This window comes from Homo sapiens, chromosome 10 (assembly GCF_000001405.40).
Source record: "Homo sapiens chromosome 10, GRCh38.p14 Primary Assembly".
Lineage (NCBI taxonomy): Eukaryota > Metazoa > Chordata > Mammalia > Primates > Hominidae > Homo > Homo sapiens.
Genome location: NC_000010.11, coordinates 34125758 through 34148907, shown reverse-complemented (window position 1 = coordinate 34148907; position 23150 = coordinate 34125758). Strand labels below are relative to the sequence as shown.

At 39.1% G+C, this 23150-nt stretch overlaps 1 protein-coding gene across 8 annotated transcripts in view; it reads left to right on the top strand.

Annotated features, from left to right (window-relative positions):
• PARD3 (par-3 family cell polarity regulator) overlaps positions 1 to 23150 on the top strand; it is a 705736-nt gene that overhangs the window by 666389 nt on the left and 16197 nt on the right. For all 8 annotated transcript variants that reach the window (NM_001184790.2, NM_001184791.2, NM_001184789.2 and 5 more), the window contains one exon: positions 17325 to 17445. In NM_001184790.2, the coding sequence (NP_001171719.1) occupies positions 17325 to 17445 (121 nt within the window). The remainder of the gene's footprint in view (positions 1 to 17324; positions 17446 to 23150) is intronic.

Here is a 23150-nt window from a genome sequence, read left to right as displayed (position 1 = left end):
CACAAAATTCAGACCATATTCATTAAAAACAAACAAAAAAAAACTTGATTCTGGCAATAGAGGGATAGAGGATTAATTCTTTGAAGTTTTTGACATATAAAAGGGATTGTGGGGTCTCCTTTTATTGGAAAGACAGAGAATTAACACCTTAACTGAATCCATATTGTAATAAACCCTAGGACTTGGAAACAATGTTGCAAATATTAAGTATCGTATAAATTTATCTCTATGGAAAACATCTTCAACTTCATTAAATGTTCTGTATGATGCCACTTATCTATTTCATGCACCCCCATACCTTCTCCAAAAGTTCTCTAGACAATGTTGCACTGAGACCACAGAGATGGCATTTTTAATGTCAAAACAAAATAACGTAGCAGAAACCTATAGAAACAATGTTGTGGTGACAAAATGAAATGTCAGTGGAGGTCTGTTGTAACATAATGTCAAAACAAAATGTCAGCCAAAATCCATGGAGACACTATTATGATATCAAAATGAAACAATGTCAGCGCCAGTCTGTAGAGACATTACAATATGAGAAAAGACAAAACAAAACGGTATCTGTGGAGGCCTGTGACTTCTGAGGCTTAATGTAGCTTCATGTCAGGTGGTTGGCTTGTGCAAACGTGGCTAATATTTCAGTATGTATTTTCTAAGGCTTTTCTTTTCCAGCTCAAGAAAAGGAATCCCAAAGCGGTTCTTTAGTATAAGTGGCTGGGTTAGGCAATTGCTGATATTTATATCTAAATCTATGCCTGTGTCCGTATGTATGTCAGTGTGTTTGTCAGTATCTCTCTCTATTCATTCTGGGCTTCTGATGCTTCCAAACACATCATTAGTCCCATTTGGTCTTGGCTTAGTTTCCCTACACACCAGTACTTGGACATCGGTTGGAAGTATAAAATACAGGCAAGGCAGTGTTCCAATCTGCTTGGGAAGGGTCATGCTGAGTTTTAGCAGATGTTTTGCTCCATTCTTTTCTCCTCTGTCCTCAGGTAGAAGCTGGCACTGCCCCCTTCCTTACTGAGCCTTGAGGCACCAGGTGGTTTTGAAATGTGCCCCTGAATTCCTGTGACCTTTGGCCCTAGAGCTCATGATCTGGCAGCACCTTGGCTGGGTAATACTAGTACTCTGTTTTCCCAGCCCTTTCATAGGAGCTGAAAGATTTTTTTAAAAAATTATATATATAAAGAGAAAAACAAATATTTTAAAAATCTATAATCATATTAAGTTGGGATTTTTTTCCAAAACAAAGTTAGTAAAGTATCAAATTAAAGTAGATATCATTGTGAGACAAATTTTATTATGTAGAGGCAAATTTAGACATTGTAAAGGGAAAATTTTACTATATATATAAACTTATAAAGATCAAAAGGTTTTTATCCACATATTAAGCAATTTGAGTCTGGAATTAAATATTGATTTGTTTTTGTTTTAGAAATTTGAAAATCCCTGAAATTGAGAGAAAAAAAGTCAAACTAGAGAAAAAAAGAAAAAACTCTGCCACAATAGTAAAGATATATTTTTCTCATTTTAATCAGCTGCAGTATAATTTTAAAATCATGTATTAAGCAACAATACAATAAAGTCTCAATTAGCTAGAAACCAAGCAAACCCACAGTTAGCCAATATGTTTCCAAATTACACTTTTAGAAACAAGAGGTAGATACCTATAAAAGTGCTGTTATCGGGGTGAGGTGGGGGGTCTGTCAGAAAAATAGTGAGAAACCAAAAGAACTCAATTTCGTCCTTTTTTTCTACAAAGTACTCAACAGTGAGTCATGAAAATCTCAAAAGTTTTTTTTTTTTAAGTTAAATATCCATTATTCCTTCTTTTCAAGATGGATGAGACCTTTATTACTTTCTAGAAGGATTTTCAAACACAAGGATTGAAACAAAAAAGGCTTTCAGTAAACCTTTGGCTAATCAGCTTACCACTCGGTTCTTCTAAGACTGTGATTTTCAGAAACTTTAATCAGGTTCAGTTTACTTGTATCGATTTGCACGCCTTAGCCACAAAACTACAATATCTACTGGTGGGGATGTGCTGGAGCCTGAAATTGTATTCTTGAGGCATGCGCTTCCATAGTGGTGATAGGAGCATGCAGTGGGAAAAGTGGGAAACGTTCTTTGTCACCAGCATCAGTGGGATACTCCTGAGAGATCAGAATAGGAGCTGGTCACTCTTTAGCAGGAGAACGAAGAGTGAAGACCAGCAAAGATTGAAACAGAGGATTAAAAATTGTATGTCACAGTCACCATATTGACCAGCAGAAGTAAATGTGGGCAAAAACTAAAGCCAAACTGTGATTTTCATCACATGTCAAAGAAAGGAAAACTAGTTTGAGTATAGCACCAGGTCATGTGCTTGGGAGAAAAAGTGTGGAGGACTCGGTTAAATCTTTAAAACAGTATTTGTATTTGGAGCTTTGTAGATTACAAACTCAATGTTTTAAAAATGTACTCCCTAAATTAACCATAAATATTGTAAAAAAGTAATACAGAAATTATTCCTAAAGTGTGTTAGGAAGTGGTGGACATAATTCTGTAATTATAACCAATAGCTGTTACCATTTTGGAACATTTACATCCATGTCTTTCGTCTACTTAAAAAAATATATAAGCATCCATATACCAGTTTTATTCTTGAAAAGACATTTAAGCTATTTGAAAATAATTGAGAATTAAGAATAACAGAAATTAGAAAGTCTAACATTAGAGAGTAAAGCTATTTCTTCCTCTTTTCCTTTTGGAAATCACTCCAAAACAAGAAACAGAATGAGATATAGAAATAGTAACTCTATTTTTGTGAAAATGGACATAGTTAATATAGAATGACAGAATCACACTGGAATGTCAAGAATCAAGCTTATGCACCCCGCACCAAAGATTGCTAGATTCTCTTCGGAAGACATGGAATTGCCCTGGAAAAGGAGTCCACATACACTGTCATGAGAATTCCCAACCAAAAAAGTGACACTCTGCCCAGCCTTCCTGTCCACCATTTCATAAACCCCCCTGAAGCACACAGTGACTAATCTGCTTTTTAGTGCTTCACTCTTAAATATAAAAGGGCAGAAAAACATGTGAAACATTTCAGAAAAGCCATAATTGTGGAAGACAGAGTCCAAAACAAACAACGTTTGTTTGTTTTCTTTAAGAACTTGGAGGAAACATAAAATTAAGAGAAGAGAAAAATATTAAGGAATTATAAACAGTAATTCTGTGAAATAGAAATGATGTTAAAACCATCAAAGATGAACAGGAGGCTATTGAAAGGATTATTGAGTAAATGGGAAAGAACTCTTAGAAAATAATAAATACAATATCAGTATTAAGAAACACAATAGAAGGCTTGATAGATGAGGTTGAGAAGTTTCCCATAAAGGAAAACATGAGCTATAGGACAAAGAGCAGTATAGTGAGAAAGAAAGGAAGTGAAAAGTTCATTCTGGGAGGTCCAATATTTAAAGAAAACAATTTCTAGAAAGAGAGAACAGAGATAATAAAGGATAGATTATTAGAGAAATAACACAAGAATCTTTTCCAGAACTGGAGAACTTAAGATTCCAGATTAAAGAATCACCTAGTGCTGAGCAAAATCAATTTTTCAAAAAGGACAGCATTGTGAAGTTTTGGAATACCAGAAAGAGAAGATCCTGTAAAAAAAAAAAAAAAAAAAATATATATATATATATATATATATATATATATACACACACACACACAATGAAGAGTTGAGAATCAGAATATAATCAGATTTCTTCACATCAGTCTTGTAAGCTAGAAGATAATAGAGCAACACATTCAAATATTGAAGGGTAATGTTTTGTTACCTGAAATTCCATACCTAGCCAAACTGTCAGTGAGTGGTAATGATAGAATACATACATTTAAAGCATGCAAACGCAAAATATTTTAGTTCTAATACCCTTTTAGGCAGCCACCGAATGTGTGCTTTAACAAGTCCCAGGACTTCTGCTGTGCAGAAAACCAGGAAGCAGGCAGCCTAGATTGGCGTATGTGGTGGGAGCTTTTGAGGTTAGAGGGCTCCAGGAAAAAAATTGGGCTTAATAAGCCATGATAGACTTGTTCTCCTGGAAATCTGAAAAATCAGATTGTAAAATCATTTTCATATAAATTTTGCTATAATTATATTGGGAAGATGTGGAAGATGGGAATTTGGAGTCAGAATTTGGATTTGAGTGTAAGAGAGCTAATGCTTCATCTACCTTTGTAGGAAGTCAACAGGTGTGTTTAACAGTAATAAATCAGGAGATAGTGATATAAATATATTACCCAGAAATGTCTAAATACCAGAGGAATTTGGTTAGACATGGCTTATTATTAAATTCCTAGCTTTTGCTTTGTGTAATAGATTCATACTGGCAACTTACATTTAATAATATTGAGCATGGCACTTTCATCATAACTAAATGAAAGTAAGCAATGAAACCATCACTAGCAAGAGTGTATCACAAACCAGGAATTACAATGGATTCATTCTGAGTATCTCAGGTTGAGTTAAAAAGAAATGTCATAGAAAACGACTGAAAGCTTTAAAAGTCTTGGGGTTGGGTGGTCAGAGAGACAAGATGTGATGAAGCAGAAGTTTCATTTAAGAAGTTTCTTTTAATGATTCTTTTAAGGCTTTTAGCATTTTAAAATATAAACTATGCACATGTAGTATTACTTTGAAAAAAAAATGTAATTGACAAAAGAATGTTGCAAGCCCTTTCACAATCTATCAGTAACTCCAAAATCTGTCAATAACTCCAGTTTTCAAAATCTATCAATAACTCCAAACCAATATGGTCACACTGTTTTTGTTTTCCTAATATAATAATTTAACTAAATCTGAAATGAGAAGTTAAATTAATTAACATTTCTATGTCATTTATTCCCTCTCTCCAGATAAATAATGGCCAAGTTGTAAATAGAAAAAAAAGCTCAGAAAATTATTAATGAATAATTATGAAGTTCATCAAGAGCATAAATAGAAGTAAAAAAATCAATCAGGAAGAATATTTTAATGATCTTTAAAATGTTTTAAAAACAGTAATACAAACTCTTCATTAATGGTTTCTTTTTAGAAAACTGGTTATTAGATGTATGTTTCACTACTTTTATTCTAATTCTCAAAGAAGTTTCAGAGTTAGCCTCTTATGAAACTTACAGGTGATATATCTCTTGTTACATTATTTAATATTCTGAGTCATTTCAAGAAAGTCTGTAGAATTTAGCCATGATTTAGAATTATGACATGATTTGGAATTAAGTACTGCATTGCACTGGAATTTTTTCTTTTAAAAAAACATAGCTTAGTTTCGTATAGTGTTTTGCAATTATGCTGTCATTAAAGACAGAAAGCAAAAACAAAGAAAATGTTCGCCTTGAATTCTTTGTAATCATTTCATGATTAAAGAATTAAAATAATGGTTCTATAATTAGTTTCTATGCCTGAATGATAAAACCTTTCTAATATGAAGAAGAACATGATAATCATTTTATTGTGTCATCAAAACCCATCAGGTTTTGTAATTTAATTTCCATTGCCTTTTTATTTCAGTTTTTTGTTGTTGTTGTTGTTGTTTTGAGACAGAGTCTTGCTCTGTTGCCAGGCTGGGGTGCGGTGGCACGATCTCAGGTCACTGCAACCTCCACCTCCTGGGTTCAAGCGATTCAGCTTCCCAAGTAGCTGGAACTACAGGCATGCACCACCACACCCAGCTAATTTGTATATTTTTAGTAGAGACAGGGTTTCACCATGTTGGCCAGGATGGTCTTGATCTCTTGACCTCGTGATCCACCTGCCTTGACCTCCCAAAGTGCTGGGATTACAGGCATAAGCCACCGCCCCCAGCCTTTATTTCAAATTTTTATAATGTATTCCTGTTTTTCACTCTTTTTAGTTTGTCAAGATTTTTCACCTGTAACATTGAATTTCATTTGCTCTTTAATCAGACACCTAAATGTATATTTTAGTTTGAGGCACAGACTTCAACTGTGGGTCACAACTGGCTGAACTTTGTATCCCCAGTGGTTTTATTGAATGAATAATATAATCCACAAACTTTCTTCAGTTCTCTAACCTATTAGAATCCCTTACACGTCCTTGCCATTTGTTAGAGAATTCAAGAAAATCACACTATGAAAAGTAAGTGCACTTTGGGCATTAACCATTATAACTGCTTTCTTGCATTGTGCCAAGAAAAATGATGCCTGCCTGCCTTCCTGCCTTCCTGCCTTCCTTCCTTCCTTCCTTCGTCCTTTCTTCCTTCCATCCGTCTTTCCTTCTTTCCTCCCTCCCTCCCTGCCCCCCGCTTCCTTTCCTTTCCCTTGTTTCTTTTCTTTGTTTCTTTCTTTTTCTTTGACAGAGTCTCGGTCTTTCACCCAGGCTAGAGTGCAGTGGTGCAATCATGGTTCACTGCAGCCTCAAACTCCTGGGCTCAAGCAATTCTCCTGCTTCAGCCTTCCAAGTAGCTGGGCCTACACGCACCACCACACCCAGCTAATTTTTTTTTTTTTAGAGATGGGGTCTTGCGATGTTGCCCAGGCTTGTCTCAAACTACTAGCTAAAGCGATGCTCCCATCTTGGCCACCCAAAGTGTTGGGATTACAGGGATAAGCCCCGGCACCCAGCCAACATTTTATTTTCTAAAGTGCATTTAAATTCATAGGTATACCCCGAAAACATTTTCTCTCATCTTTTACTTGCTTAAATCTATGTTAAGATTGCCTGCTAGGGAGTCAAGAGACTTGGGAGGCCCAGACCTCAGCCCCTGCCCTTTGTCCACGTACCTCACAGGGTCTTGAGGAAGTCCACCATCTTTGAGGTTTAAAGCTCTTAACACACATTCTCACAATAGTCACTCTTATTCGAATATGGTTTCTTAAACCAAAACCTTGATAATTAGTTTGACAATGATAATTTTTAAAAACTTGCTAAGCAGTGTTACTTTAGTGCTGAGTTTTCAGTAGATGCCCCATTGGAGGTATGGCTGTGATAGATTCAGCTGTCCTTTTGAGTAGAGACCAGCTTGGATCATTTTTGTGACACTAGGTAAGATCAGCTACCTAGGGCTTTCTTGTGTGTATTTATTGCTGGGTCCTGAAATTATGTATGTCTTTGCGCTTGCATGTTCTCTGTTGCTGGAGGACTTCCCCTCAAAAAGTAAAACTAAATTTTTCTTACTCCTGCCTGAGACCAATGACAAGCTAATAAGGAAGAGTGATGAAAGTAATAAAATAGGGCGAGGGGTACATTCCTGAGGTTTTGTTGCTTATAAAATGATAGTCCTGTTACCCAGAGACCACAGAGGGACTTGGAGTAAGATCTAGTCCTGAGGCTTTCCGATGGAGAGATGACCTCCCTGTGATCCATAAAGCATCTGGAGAACTGGAGCTATCACATCAGAAGCAAATGCAGGATTAACAGCTTTGGAGACCACCTTTTTAACCCAGAGAGCATAGCTGTATGTTTTTAATTTGTTATGATTTATTACACTGAAATTGGTGTGAAATGGACAACAAATCATGGGTGTCAGAATCTGGAAATGAATTTTATCAGCTGAGCAAAGTGAGTACCTTTGGGATTTGCATGAGTTTCTCATAATTCTTTTTATATTACAGATGATGAGTAAAACTGTGAAAATAAACTGAAAATGACATGATATTTCCTAAGTAGTTAATTTCACATGTATACATAGACACATATAAATATAGCCACTTAGCCTCAGTTTAGACTTTCTCTATAATTCAGGGTGATTTGTACATAACCACAGAAATATTTGTCTAAAAACCTCAAAGTCAGTATCAAGACCATTTGTGCAATATCATAAATGTCTGGGATTATCATAGAAAAATGCAAAGACTATAACAAGATATTTACCAACTATAATTTTTTTCAATGTTCAAATTTGGAAAAGAGAGTTTAGACTTACATACCAGTATACAAGTGGTAAGATTAAAGAAGGATCCATCCCAAAATTTCAGATGTTATAAATACCCTGAAGCATCACAAAAAAAGCGGCCCTTGTTAGAAACTAACTTTGCATGCATAATTAATGTGGGCACCACATTCCTACTTCACAACCAGAAGAGAAATTGAATTCAGGTGTTTGGTGAACATATGGGGGATTTACTGTGAATTTATGACCTGTGATTTGAGTGTAAAACCCCAAGATACTTGCTGATAAAACTTAATGAAGCTTGCGCAGAGGAGCTATTTTTATTTGTAGTTTGATAATTGATACATTTCTTGGTTTAACCCTCCCACCCTTCCTCCATTCCTCATAAGTCTTCCAGCCTGAGAGATAGAGCCATAGTGAATAGCCACAGTCTTTTTAGCCAGCTTGGCCTCATGCTTAACTAATTTGAAAGTTCACAGTTTGCTTTTCTGTGACATTTTAGTCTGTTCTTTCCCTTCTCTCTTAATTTAGCGATTAATACTTTTTCACAAACTGTACAGGTGATACAGGTGACAGGAGGCACACCGTGTGCTTTGAACAGGTACCGTGGGAGAACGTGCAAACGCTTTCACAGGGGGTGACATCAATTTACTATTTCTTAAGAAAGCAAAGATAAAGGCATAATACTGCTCATCATTAAAATTTAGACAAATCCATTGCCATTTAAAGGTTTTTTCTCCAAGAAGAAACACTTCAAGGGGCAGGAACCTGCCACACATATCCTGACCATGTCTCTCTGCTTCAATGTTTTTATCTAGGATTTTATCAAGAATGCTCCTGATTTGAGAGCCAGGAGAAAAATATTCTAAAAAAAAAACAACGAAAAACAAAAGCAAATGACAAGTGTTCCATTTTAACACACGGGGTGTAATGGGTTTAATGAGAAACCTGTGTTTGCTCACTAATTTACAGCAATTAAGAACTCAGTTCTGACATCTGTAGATTAGAACTATTTATCTAGAGATCAGGCATATTTTATGGAATTGCTAATCAGTATAGAAAAATATCTAAGTGGGAAGCAGGTTGTTTACCTGCCTCTCTGAATGGTGTCAATATCTGGTAGTTCTGTATCATAGGATCCCTTTTTAGTTCAGTGACATTTATCCCCCCAATGCTTTAGTCATCCCAGTTCAAGAACTTGTTTGTATCCACTTTGTCATGCTGACAGTCTGTCTGTTTTGAAAGGATTACAACTCTGTACATCCATGGATGACATCACAGTAAGACATTGCTTAATGATCTGAGACGCTGGTGGTCACTGCTGGCTGCCTGTTACTACGGCTTCATGACAGGTCTGCCCTACATCTGTTTCTCCCGGAGTCACTTTTTGCCTACTCCAGTCCTGGTGTCTGCTTTAAATGACATCCATGAAATAGCTGAAGTTTGGACTTAACCATTGGTACAAGTAAAATAACCCAGATTATTTTTTTCCCAGGATACAAGAAGAATTAGTAATTGGGCAAGGAAGGAAAAAGTGCTCTCATTTTTCTCCAGTGAAGATGAAACAATGTTCTTGGAAAGTGGGTTTTTTACTAATGGGCTGGATCTTGAGTTCTTCCATTTGTGGAACTATGAAGGAAGTTAGTAAAGAGATAAATTTTTCTTAAATGAGGGGACTGAAGTGCAAGAACCTCCTGTGAAGATTGAGTTGTTACCCAAGGACATCATCAAGGCTTGGAAAAGTCAGGGTTGAAGAAAATAGGATCTTTGAGTATAAGTGAATTGAGTCTTAGAAGCTTTAACCTACTATCTTCTCCTTTCTATGTGTGCTGAGATGCAGACCATGATGATGTTTCTTAAGTTGTAGGACTTTGAATGCTGGCTGGTGAAAGAGAAAAGATTTTCTTAAGCAGAGAGCTTGGCAGCTAGCAGAACTATAGAATTTTTTTCTGCCCTGTGATGTGTACATGGGAAAACTGTCTGAGTGATAGAAATGTATCAATAGGAAAAAGCTTTTTTCTTTTTTTTTTTTGGAGTGTGGTATTGCATTATTTCCAGGATTGTTGATACAATTTGGAAATTAACTTTTTGAATTTTTTTTTAATTGGGAAAAGAATAATGTTCCTTTTTCATCTGCAGTAATTGGATGCCAAGTGCAGGTGTGAAATTCACTAGCATTTGGAATAGAATTTTGTACATAGGCCAAAAAGTAAATTGCTAGGGCTGAGAAGTAGATAGCAAAAAGAAAATGGCCAAATGATATAAGCTGATATGGTTAACAAAAAATCTTTACCATGTACCTGTGCTTTTGTAAGTAGTGGATTTGAAGGGGCATCTTTTAAGTCCTGAGCTCTTGGCAAACTAAGTAAATCAAATGTTAACAGGGATTACCTTTTTGTGAGTTGTGTGTTTGACCCAGATCCCAGCAGGTCATCAATCTCTGCCAGAAAGAGAAACCAGTAATGAGCCCTTGAGTTCAGTTTTACCGAATCACCTGGTTGGCAGGTATATTTTCACCAGGCTCCAGGAAAGCACTCACATTCTTGCCTTGGTCTCTCAGGAGGCTGACTTTCAGAGATCACAGAGCCCTAGTGAGGTGTTTTGGGTGCAGTAGCGGGGAGGTCGACAAAAGGTATCACCCTAAGCAATTGAATAGATTTCCATGGGACATTCTTGACTATAGACTGGTATTCACTGGAAAGCACATTTGATTGGTTTCATGTATTAAGATCTGGCAGTGAGCATTTTTCAGTTACATCTTCTGCAATAGTATTTACTTTGTGCAATTTTTCCCAGAGACCAGAACTTTGCAGTGACTAATTCTATGAATGATCATGGTAAAACTCGCTCGTAAAATGTGATGCCTGTCTTTGATTCCACTCTTCTAACAACATGCTTTTGCAACAAGCACCATTTGTTTGGTTCCACTTGTGGGCAGGGCCTATGTGTTTCTAGGACATTAGGGCCACCTTAAATCCATCCATACTTTATTTCCTTGAATTTAACAAGAATGTACAGCCCCCATAATGCTGTTTAAAGTGATGGGGTGGTAGTATTGGTGTGGGGGCGGTCTGAGGAGGGAGGTCTAGAACGTTTATTGCTGCAGTGCTGTCACATAGCAAATTGCCTAACCTAGTGGCCTCTAATAACAAGCATTGATTTTTTGCTCAGACATCTACAGAGAGGCTAGGGGTTGGCTGATCTAGGCCAGGCTCCACTGGGCTTGACTTATAAGCTGCAGGTTGGATTCATATTCACTCCATGTGTCTCTTAGACTGTGGGCATGTTCTTGTTATGGTAGAAGTCAGGAGCACAAAGAATACACCCAGCATACAATCAGTTTCAAACTCCTTTTGTGTCACATCCACAAACATCCTGTTGGCCAAAACAAGTCACATGGCCAAGGCCAACAACAATGGAGTGTTCGTTTTCTTTTGCTACAAAACAAAGTAACACAAACTTTGCAGCTTAAAACAACACATATTGATTATATCACCGTGTCTGTGGGCCTGGAGTTCCAGCATGACTGAGCTGGATCCTCTGCTCAGGGTCTCCCTCGGGGTGCAATCAAGGAGTCAGCCAGACTGGGTTCTCACACAGAGGCTTCTACTAGGGAAATATCAGCTTCCCTGCTTCCGTCATTGTTGACAGCATTGTGTTCCATGCAGCTGTGGGATTCTTGGCTCCTTGCGACTTCAGTACCAGCAAGGAGAGAGACAGAGGCATAAAGAGGGACACCACGATTGTAACCACAAACACTGCGTGATCCCTGCTGCATTTCTCATTGGTTAGAAGCAAGTGCACAGCAAACCACCATGACACACGTTTAGCTAGGTAACAAACCTGCACATCCTGCACATGTATCCTGGCACTTAAAATCAAATTAAATCTTAAAAAAAGCAAGTGTGGGTTCTGTCCACATTCAAGGGTAGAGGAGTGCATAAAGGTGTGAACCCCAGAAGGTGTGGACATTAGGGCCACCTTAAATCCATCCATCACAAATATTTGCTGATCAATTTGTTCTGCCACAGGGAAGTGACATACAAGATATGTACATGTTGAATGGCTATGATGAAGGCACAAACCTAAGAGAGAAAAGCCCATACACATGCCGATTCTGGTAAACTCTGTAAGTCAGTATTTGGGTCAGGGGACAATTACAGGTGAACTGAAAGGAAGAGATGAACATGGGCTGGAGTAGTGAGGAAAGGCTGCAAGGAAGTGGATTGATGTCTTAGACTTACTGGTAGAATTTGGAAAGATGGAAGGGAAAGAAGAGGGTATTAAAGAAAGAAAAACCTGAGCGACTGTATTTTCCTCTCTTCTTTGGCAGCTTTTCTTCTCCTGTACCAGAGTTTATAATCATCTCTGCCTTCTGAACAATGTGGAGAGCCTGCCACAATTCATTTCCTCCTCCTGTCTACCTTCTCTCTTCCTTTTCTCCCCCCTGCTATGGGAAGCATAGTGTATACCGAGACCACCTTACTTTAAAAAAAGAGTGGTTACTTCTCCTTTCCATTGAATTCTGGATCTTAAAACTACTCTCTTCCAGGTTTCCAGATTCCTTTTGCATAATTAAAAATGCAAATGTTAAAGCATTTTTAATCCATGAAGAATTAATCAGTCACATCACAAACTCCTCTCTTTCAGCATATACTGCTCTGAATAGATAGGTGAGACTTCAAGCCTGCAAGGAAGGATACCCAGGTTCAGGCTTAGGCAGCTGGGAAGGAGGGGACAGTTTAGGAGAAACAAGACTATCTGGACAGTGCCTGGTTATCAGTTTTAACATATTTTGGGGGACTGTTACTAGAGCACCACCAGCCTTATTATTTTGGTGCAATGAAAGTAAATAGCCTGGAGAAGCGACAGATAAAATAGGCAGCGTCTGCAGAATGTGAACCAGTGGTTACAGGCTAGCCAACAATGGACAAAATTGTTATTTGGCTTACCTAGAATTTCAAAAGTAAAGTAAGTGAACATTTTAAATTTGGGAGAGAAAGCTGTCTTTCTAGCTTCTCTTAAATAAGAAGCAACACCAGGCCAGCATCCCTTCATGGCAGTAGTCTACTAACTGCAGGCATTATCTTCAGAGTGTTGTCCATATACCTGCAGTATGTTCTGAATTCATATACGTGTAAGTTCTTGGGCCCTGCACTAGACTGACTCAGAATTTCTCAAGGCAAGCCTTGGCAATCAGTATTTTTTTAACAAGCTCTTTGAATGGTTCTCATATACACAGTGCATATAGATGAGAACCGCTGTTGTAAGGTTTCTGTTCCCTCTCATCGTACCTAAGGAAGTGGTTGAGTTGGCTTGCCTGTGGGGCACAGGTGCGGGGCAGGCTTCAGTGATTCCCTGCAGATAGGCTCATTGCTCCTTTTAGCCTGAATGGGTATCCTTAGCCACATTCAGGAAGCACATAGTAGTATCCAATTTGAAGATGTAGAAGCCTTGTACACCGCATGGTCTGCCTCTGACATCAAAGACTGCAATCCCCGTAGTAATTATGGACGTTCCATATAATTCAGGGTCACATAGTTCTGTGCACGCTGGGCTAGGAATCTCTGTAGTGTGTGATCCTAGGTACCCTTCCTTAAACCTGTCAGGAAAAAACAACAAAAACCAAAACCCAGATCATTACTGAACCAAAAGCAAACCCTCTTCATTTAGTTAGAACGTGAAATTAAGTTCCAGTTGGGTACAAAGCCAATGTGTTGGTGGAGGCTGAGTGTTGGTATTGGACTAAAACTGTCTTATAGCTGTCTGTGTGGATGTTTTATACAGAAAGTATCTCTCTGTTCCTCTCAGCATCCCTGTGTAGATCCCACTCATGTGGACTATCTGTAAATTAGGATTTCTGACTCTTCATTAAGGGTTTTATTGTCTCACCCATCTGATCAACTTGGATGGTATTTTTATTATATTTCTCACACAAAAAAATCATGACCAACTTTAAGTTGGCAGTGAACCTAAATATAAGTTGATTAGGATGTGTAGGGATGAGTCACTATTGCTAATGAATATTTAAAATTTCCTTTAGCTTTCTTGGCAGAAGAGCTCACCAAGAACTTTAAAAGTCCAAATTTGAATTATTGGCTCATTATAGACTGGCCAGAGAGACAGAACTGAGCAATTGTAATGGTTTCATCTCTCAAAGCCAGAATTTCACCTTCAGACTGCCAATTGTTGTTCCCCAAGGGGGCTTGACGGTCTTCCAGTCTTTGGAAATCATCATCCATCATGAAAACCATTGCAGCCTGTTTTCCAACTTCAGCCATTAAGTGGTTTTGCCAGTCTTAGACAAGTCAGCCAGCTTTCTCTAGAGTATTGGGAGAGAAAGAGCAGAGGAAAAGGGGGTGAAACCAAAGGTCTGCCTAGCTCCCCAGATTTGGAAACAAGGGCAGGAGTGACTTCCAGAACTTATCTTTTGCTGTGAAAAACACCAGTGTCACCAGAATTTAACATTGAGGATACTCGGTCAACTCCCTTTGTCGGGAAAACAGACTTTCAGTGAATTGCAAATAGTAGGAGGTCAGTTTTTATCAATGGTTTCAACTTCATGATCCTAATAATTATGGGCTTAAAACTCTCTGTGCTGCATGAAAATAACAGAAGAATACTTCTGGTTAGATTTGTAAAATACTTTGTCAGTCAAACCTCCTATAATCCTCCCATAAAAGCTATAAAGTATGCCAGGAACAAAAAAGCACAGGTGGAAAAATGACAGTGAGATTCGGGAATGCCCACTTTCCTGTCTCTTTTGTCTTATGAAGGTAACCATCCTCACTCATGCCTACACCATTACGGTTTCACATAAAGAACAGAGTGCTTTTTAGATTGGACAGTGCAACAATATAGGACACTATATATTTTTAAAGCCAGTAGGAATAACAACCTGCCTGTCTCAAAAGTGTGGAGGGACATTTTGAAGTGACGTGGACTGAAGCCTTGTGTCGTCAAGCAGCCCAATTTACAGACCTGTTCACCTTTAATGTTCCAGGCCAATCAGTTCAGATTTGTCAGAAGAAAAGCAAAGAAAGACAAGCTTTTATTGACTGAGAAAATAATCAAATTGAATGTATTGACAGTATATTCTAGAAGCTCTAGTGAAATTGATACATGAAGGTACAGGGGCCCCTCCCAATATGTTAAATGATGAAAGACTATTCCATATTTTTAGAAGATGTTAACATGATGATCCTGTACATGAACATGTTCAATTTTAGATGCTTAAACCTTTGAGATTCTTCAAAATATGTGGAATTATATGTAGACTTATGTCCGTTTGAGAATTTTACGTACTCTACTGTGACAGAATTTCTCTTTCCAAGCTACCTCTCACAAATCACATCACGCAGGAGGGGTGCAGCCAGCAGAACCCTGGCACACACTGAGTAACCAGGGCAACATGCTTTTGTGAAGAGACCTGATCTTCCGAATAGCTTTGCAGCTTTCCATTCTGCTAGCAGCTTGGAGGGTATATATGATAAGAAGAAGATGTGGTTCTTGTCCTCAAGAAGTCTGACGTTCTGTTGTGGAGGCAGTAGATGCCTGATGGGCTTGAATAGCTTTCCTGATGAAATGAGAGAGTTCCCTGACTCCCCTCACAGGACATGCAGCAGGGGTGTGTGGCTTGTCTATTTGACTGCTGTGTGTGCCCAAACCCCTTAGGGGAGGGGGAGCATGCAGATGTACAGGTACGGGAGCCGGGGTTCCAGCCCCACGGTAGTGTCTGGGTGTGGGTGCCTGCAGCTCCTGAAGCTCCAGTGGGCATGTTGCAGTGCTCTTTTAGCTCTCCTGTCTGCAGATGGCTTAAGTGTTAACCAGCCCAGTGCCCCCCTTGGTACCCAGGCCCTTGTCTGGCATCCAGGAAAAATCAGGTCCCACAGGGTCTTGTAAGATGGTGAATGTGGGGATTTTATTGGGTGATGGAGGTGGCTCTCAGTGGGATGGATGGGAAGCTGGAAAGGGGATGGGGTGGGAAGATGATCTTCCCCTGGAGTTTGGCCATCCAGTGGCCCAGTCTCCTCTCCAGCCATCCCCAGCCAAACTCCTCTTGACATTCAGATGCTCCTTCTCGTCTCCCTTCTCTGCCGCACCATTCTGCCACTCTTCTGCCCTTCTGTTTGTCTGTTCATGGAGCCTGGGGTTTGCAGTTTATATGGGTGCAGGATAGGGGGGCGTGGTGGGCCAAAAAGGCAACTTTTGGGTGCAAAAACAGGAATGCCTGTTCCCATTTAGGGTTATGGGTTTCCAGACTTCTGAGGGTGGGACCTTTGCTGAGGAACCGCCCTCTCCTACCCAGTATTTCCCTGTCTCCCGTCCACGTCACTGATAGGATGAAACTTACTGCTTTAGTGAATGGCATAGACCAAAAGTGCTGTGAGATTTATGATTGATTTAATTTTGGTCATCAATCTCTATTACTCTTGGCGAAAATACTCTTTTTAAAATTTGTACTTTACAAATGAAGAGCTTTGGAGCCTGATACATGTTTTACAAAGTGATATGCATGGCATAGTGAAATGAGGGTTGGACTGGGAGCCAGAAAATCTGGATTTTGGTCTCACTTTCCCCACTGGCCAGCTGGGAGATCCCCAAATGAACCACTTATCTTCTTTAAATGTCAGTTACTACATTTGTAAACGTGTGCGTAGGTGGGTGGGTGGGTGGGTGTGTGAAATACTACCTTCTGCACCTATCTTATAAGGTATTTCTGAGAATAAAACAAAATTCAATACTATACAAAAAGAAGGCCGTATTGTTATTAACTAGATGGTTAAATGAAACTACCACTTGAACTTATTTTTAAAATGTTTTTCATTTTTGCTGTGAGAATTGCATTTTATTTATAGACCTCTGATGACTCATAAATAGGAACCTCGTATTATGAAAATATTGCTGTGCATTTGTGCAGCTATATTTCATGGTGTCCTCTCACTTGATTATTACAACTCAGATATTTAGAGTAAAATTATTATCTCTACTTCATATATTTAAAAAACTTCAGCTTAGAAACATTAAGTACGTTAGTCTAAGAAGGTACAGAAGCTAGGACCAGACCCTGTTGTTTCTGACTTTTAATGCAATGTCCTTTCCAAAAAAACTTCCCTGCCAACACCTTGCCAGATTACAGAAAGGAAATGAAACTTTTAAAGAACAGTGCAAAAAAAAAAAGAATATCTAAAAATATTGTTTACCCTCTCAAATATCTGTCTAAAATACCTCAATAAGCCTTAATCCTAAAACCAAAATGAAAACATATTTTAAATGCCCACATATTGTTTTAAAAATTCACTTTCTCTTAAATGGCGTCATTTCACAGCAAGTTGCCATGTTTTGCTAGCAACTGCAGTTCACAGATAATATTTCTGAAGGGTATTCACTGCTGCCTCATCTCTCTTTCAGTAACAGATCAACTCCTAGCAATCATGATCGGATACAGCGTCTGAGGCAAGAATTTCAGCAAGCAAAGCAAGATGAAGATGTAGAAGATCGTCGGCGGACCTATAGTTTTGAGCAACCCTGGGTAAGTAATTGGTTCTTCAGCACGGTGAATGGTCCTACAACTTCCCTGCAGCAAAGGCCACTAAGCTATGACCTCAATGCTCTATGAAACGAGACAAGATGGAGCCAAATTCCTTTGACCTTTAACATATTGACCTTTTCCTCATTTCCATCTGGGTTTCATCATTGCTAATTTCATTTTATATCTTGTTCCACCATCTGTCCATTGCCTAATAGGTTTCACTAGCCTTATGACAAGACATAGCAAAAGTATTCTCACTCTCAACTAAGCATTTTTTAAATTTAGTAAATATTTTTCTGTAGATACATATTCTCAGAATCAGAGCCAAAATTAATTTGTTCAGCACTTCTCCATTGTGCCTGTAATGTACAAAGTACAGTGTTTAGTAATTCTTTTTTTTAAAGAGATGAGGTCTCGCTTTGTCACACAGGCTGGAGTGCGGTGGTGCGATCATAGCTTACTGCAGCCCCAAACTCCTAGGCTTAGGCAATCCTCCTACCTCAGCCACCAGAGTAGCTGGACTATAGGCAAGTGCCACCACACCTGGCTAATTTTTTAGTTTTTTGTAGAGACTGAGTCTCACTATGTTGGCCAGGCTGGTCTCAAATTCCTAGGCTCAAGTGATCCTCATTCTTCAGTCTCCCAAAGTGTCAGGATTACAGTTGTGAACCACTGTGCCAGGTCTAGTAATTCTTGATTCTTTAATCTTTTGCACCCCCCATGTGTGTTTGTTGAATCCATCTTATTCCAGTTCATCCCCCTCATAGCCACCAGAGTGAAAAAACTTCAGATGGCTTTCTCAGTGCCAGAACTGTGTTCTGATCTTGTGTCTCACCCTAGAGATGACAGCACTTCTGAGAGTGGAGGGGTTGGGACAGATTTTTTGAGATGATGGGGAGTTTGAAGAATTTCTTTGGGAGACTTGAGAGTGAGTCTGTTAGAGGTGAATAAATAAGCTGCTTAAGGTAGGAAACTCTAGCATGGGGTATTAGGAAGTCCAGGCAGCATGGTAATTTGACCTAACCGGCAATGCTTAGAAGACTGGGAATAGAAGGAATAAATTTGTGGATTAATTCTTTAGTGGGGGTTGGAAGATAGACATGGCAGAAAGCCAAGGGAGGTGCTGGAGTCCTACCAAGGATACTGGGGAAGCATCGTGTGGTCCAGGTGGGGTGGCAAGTATAGCTCAAGGAAGGATTAGCCTCACAGCCTAGCAGTGTGCAAGAGGGCTCAGGATCTAGGGGTTCTCAAGCCTAGGAAGTTGTGGTCAAAACAGTGTATTTTTTGGACTCTAGGATCTTGGAAGTAGAGGCGATAGTTCAGACGATGTTGAGGTCTAAGGCCTGCCATCTTTGCACGTGAGTTACAGAAGTAGAGCGGAGATTAGTGTCCATAAAGTTGACAAGTTCAGTTCAGACAAAGTGTTGGGAATATCATTTACTAGATATTTGGAAGAGTAGGACAGAAGGAAGAATGGTGTTATAAAAGGCTGGAGGCCAGGCATGGTGGCTCATACCATCACCCCAACACTTTGGGAGGCCAAGGCAGGAGCATTGCTCGAGCCCAGGAGTTTGAGACCAGCTTGGGCAACATAGGGAGACCCCATCTCTACAAAAAAAAAAAAAAAAAAGTTTTTAATTACCCGGATGTGGTGGCACATGCCTGTGGTCCCAGCTACTCAGGAGGCTGAGTTGGGAGGATTGTTTGAACCTGGGAGGTTGGGACTGCAGTGAGACCCTGGCTCAAAAAAAAAAAAAAAAAAGAGGCTTGACATTACAAAAAAAAAGGAACATTTGATTTGAGGAAGGGTAAACTACCCAGCTGAGAGGTTGGTTATGTTGAAGGGAAGGGGAGATTAAAGGTAGAAATGTAGGAAGAGCCTTCAATGCTAGATTGAAAGTTTGAAGAGAAATAGTGCTAGGAAAGAACACTGGCCCAGTAGCCAGGTGGCCTGGCTCTTCCGGCCTCAGTTTTCTTATCTCTCAACCAAGATTAGAATAAATGATTGCAGGCCAGGCACAATGGCTTGTGCCTGTAATCCCAGCACTTTGCGAGGTCAAGGTGGGCTAATCACTTGAGGCCAGGTGTTCGAGACCAGCCTGGACAACATGATGAAACCCCATCTCTACTAAAAATACAAAAATTATCCAGTCCTGGTGGCACATGCCTGTAATCCAGGCTACTCGGGAGGCTGAGGCAGAAGAATCACTTGAACCCGGGAGGCAGAGGTTACAGTGAGCCAAGATTGCACCACTGCCCTCCAGCCTGGACGACAGAGCAAGACTCTGAATCAAAAAAAAGAAAAGAAAGAATAAATGATTGGATGTCAGTTACTAAACCCTTGGATGAAATGAAAGTTTAAGAAGAAGCTAAATGTAAAGCAGATGCAAGTAGAACCCCTCTAGTTGACTACAGAGGCTGGATCCTGTTAGCTGCTGCTGAAGATCAGAGCTTCTCAAAGTGTGGTCCACAGAACAGCACCTTTAGCATCACCTAGAAACTTGTTAGGAATACATATTCTTGGTCCCTGCATTGACCCTACTAGATGTAAACCTTTACGGGTGGGGCCCAGGAATCTGGTTTTTAATGAGCCTTCCAACTCATTCTGAAACAAGTTCAACTTTGAGAATCACTGTTCTAAAGTCTAGACGATCTCTGAGGTCCTTTTTGGTCCTGAAACCCAATACTCACAATATATTACTCTACATAAAGCAAGAAACCTATAAATGCTGCTCATTAAGGGATTTAGTGACCAAATTAGGGTTTGAGGAAGATTAATTTTGTGGAGCAAAGGCAAAGAGGAAAAAATGGGAGAAGCAGTACTACCGTTGGCCCTTAAACAACATGGGGGTTGGAGGACCATCCCCCTTCCTCCTCACACACACAATCAGAAATCCCCATGCAACTTCTGACTTCCCGAAAACTTAACTACTGCACTAATATCGCACTGTTGAACAGAAACCTTACCAGTAACATAGACAGTTGATTAACACACACTCTGTACATTTTATGTATTATATGCTGTATTCTTACAGTAATATAAACTAGAAAGAAGATGTTATTAAGAAAATCATAAAGAAGAGAACATACATTTCCTTTTCTTTAAATGGAAGTGGATCATCATAAAGATCTTCTCCATTGTCTTCAGATTGAATAGGCAGGGGAGGAGGAGAAAGGAGTAAGTCTTGTCTCAGAGTGGCAGAGGTGGAAGAAACTCTGTGTATCAGTGGACCCTCAAAGTTCAAACTCATGGTGTTCAAGGGTCAACTGTAGTTTGAAGAGCTTTAACTTAGTTCAGGTGAGGAAGATGGGGCAACTGGCAATGTGGGATCAGCATCCAGGTGTAAAAGCACCTCATGAAATCAATTCTTGCCTAACTTTGGGAGGTTATAAAACAAGTTCCCTGGAAAATCTCTAATTGTCTTCTGCAACAATATTACTATTAATGGCATTTTTCTAAGGTATTTAGTTCATTTTCCTAGATGATCAAGTACATTGAGTCATTCCCATGTAGCAACATGACAGAATTATGTTAATCTGCTTATATTGTTTGGCATAATTGACTCAATCCATTCCTACTACATTTCTTGAAACAGGATTCTTTTGTGATGTGTGATAAATTCTTAACTATGTATATTTACACAAAGAGGCTGAAAAGAGTAATGAGCATGGTGTCAAGCTGAAGGAGAAAACAGCAGCTGAATATGGAAATAGTTAACACACATGCACACAGTTCCAACCTGGCACAGCCCCGCCTGAGCTTATCATTCTCCATACCATGCCATGAGGAGCAGTGTTCGCCATTTGACTTTGCCTGGGAATGTGGATTCCAAACCAGCATCTTGACATTTACTCTTTAACTAATTATTTAATTCATCAAATTCATTGAGTTCTTACTATGTCCCAGGCATTGTGGTTGGTATGGGAGAACAAAGATCGAAAAGAAAAAATGCCCTCAGAACTCTCCAGTAGAACTGATAAAAAATAAAGGAATACTTGGTACCATATAGCAGAGGTAGGCTAGGGGTGTGCATGGGGTGTTGAGAACCACGGAGCTGTGAGGACCACATCAGTGTGCGGTGGTCAGAAAAGGCTTGAAAGAACCCCTCTTTGAAATTGGAATATATTTTAAATATATAACAGAGAAGCAGACATATGTCTTTGAGAACTCAGATTGATGAGTTTATTTCTGGTTTCTGACATTGTATCCACATGCGAGACCTCCAGGTTTGTTTGAGGCTAAATGAGTATTTCCTACGTCTTAGTATCTAGATGTTTTTCATTGGGAAAAGTGAAAATGATTTGAAATTCATTTTGGTTTCTTTATAAGATTTTAACTTTGAATGGGAACAGTGAATAGGCTGGAATGCATTTCTATGTTATCTACTTAATATGAACAATCATGTTAGGGAAAATGTTTGAAAAAATCTTGTACATTTGGAAACTCAACTACTGAAGGTCATGGACCACATTATTATATATCAAAATGCCATAGCAACTTCAGACAGACAACTTGGCTTGTATTAGCATTTCCGGTAATGAGTGAGCAGGGAATTATTTGGATGACAGGCTGATTACCTTAGAAATGGAATCATTTCCTAAATTATGGGTCACAAGTTGACCTTTTCTTTTTTTTTTTTTTTTCATTTTCAAGAAACTGAGATCTTGCTCTATTTTACTGATCATGTAAATGAGCTTAAAGTGACTGGAATTCTACTTAGTGTATTAATTTTCATACCAATTCTTATGGTTACCTTAGGAAGAGCTGCTCAGTTGTTTAAAATGTAGCTTGGTCTATGGTTTTAATTATCTGTTTTACAAAATGAGCTTTTTGCATCTTGGAATCCTTCTCTTCTCTTATGTATTCTGACCTTGAAGGGTCACTGTATTTGGAAGGGATGGGACCATGATCTCATTCTTTGGAATGGTTTGTAATCATTTTAGTTTTAAGGAACCACAAACTCACCTTCAAGCTGTGTGTACAACTGAGCCCATATTAGTTGAAATTGTCATGCTTGTTAGAAATGCCCACACACAAAGTGCAGCCAGATGTGTCACAGAGAAAAATATGTAAGCCAATTACTTTACATACAGAGCAGGATGCTGCGGAAAATTCATCCAAGTAGCCCTTTCAATCTACCTATTTTGAAAATGTTCTCTATAAGCTCTAGCAGTACAGAATGCACCTGTTCCTGGGCCTTTGTTCAAAATAATGTCTGGGCCTGAGGGAGCTGATTTGTGGCACAAAAGGTCTTTAGATGAGCAGAGGCCCAGAAAATTTCCTTAGCTCCATAATTGAAGTGAATTCTCTCCCAAGTTGAGCAAGAGAAGAAGAAAAGGCAACTTCTTCCTCACGTAGTGCCAGGTGCAACATAAATAAAGCAGCAAGTTGCTTTAAATCTTTCTTAAGATAATGGAACAATAGGTGAGGTTAGGGTTATTATCACAGAGCTTCGATATGGACAGGACTTAGTGTTGCTTTTAAAAGAACTAAATTGCAGGCTGCAGACGTAAGTACAGTATGCCGTAAAAACTTTGCAGATACCTGAGTGTTGCCAACAAGGAGACTTGCTGGCTGAGACGACTGATAGATGGGATAATGGAGCCTTTAATAATAGCTGTATTGCTAAATCCTTTCCATCCCAGGTTGGGAGTGACTGAAAGTAGTTTAGTCCTTCAGGTAGAAAATTGATACTCTGCAATGT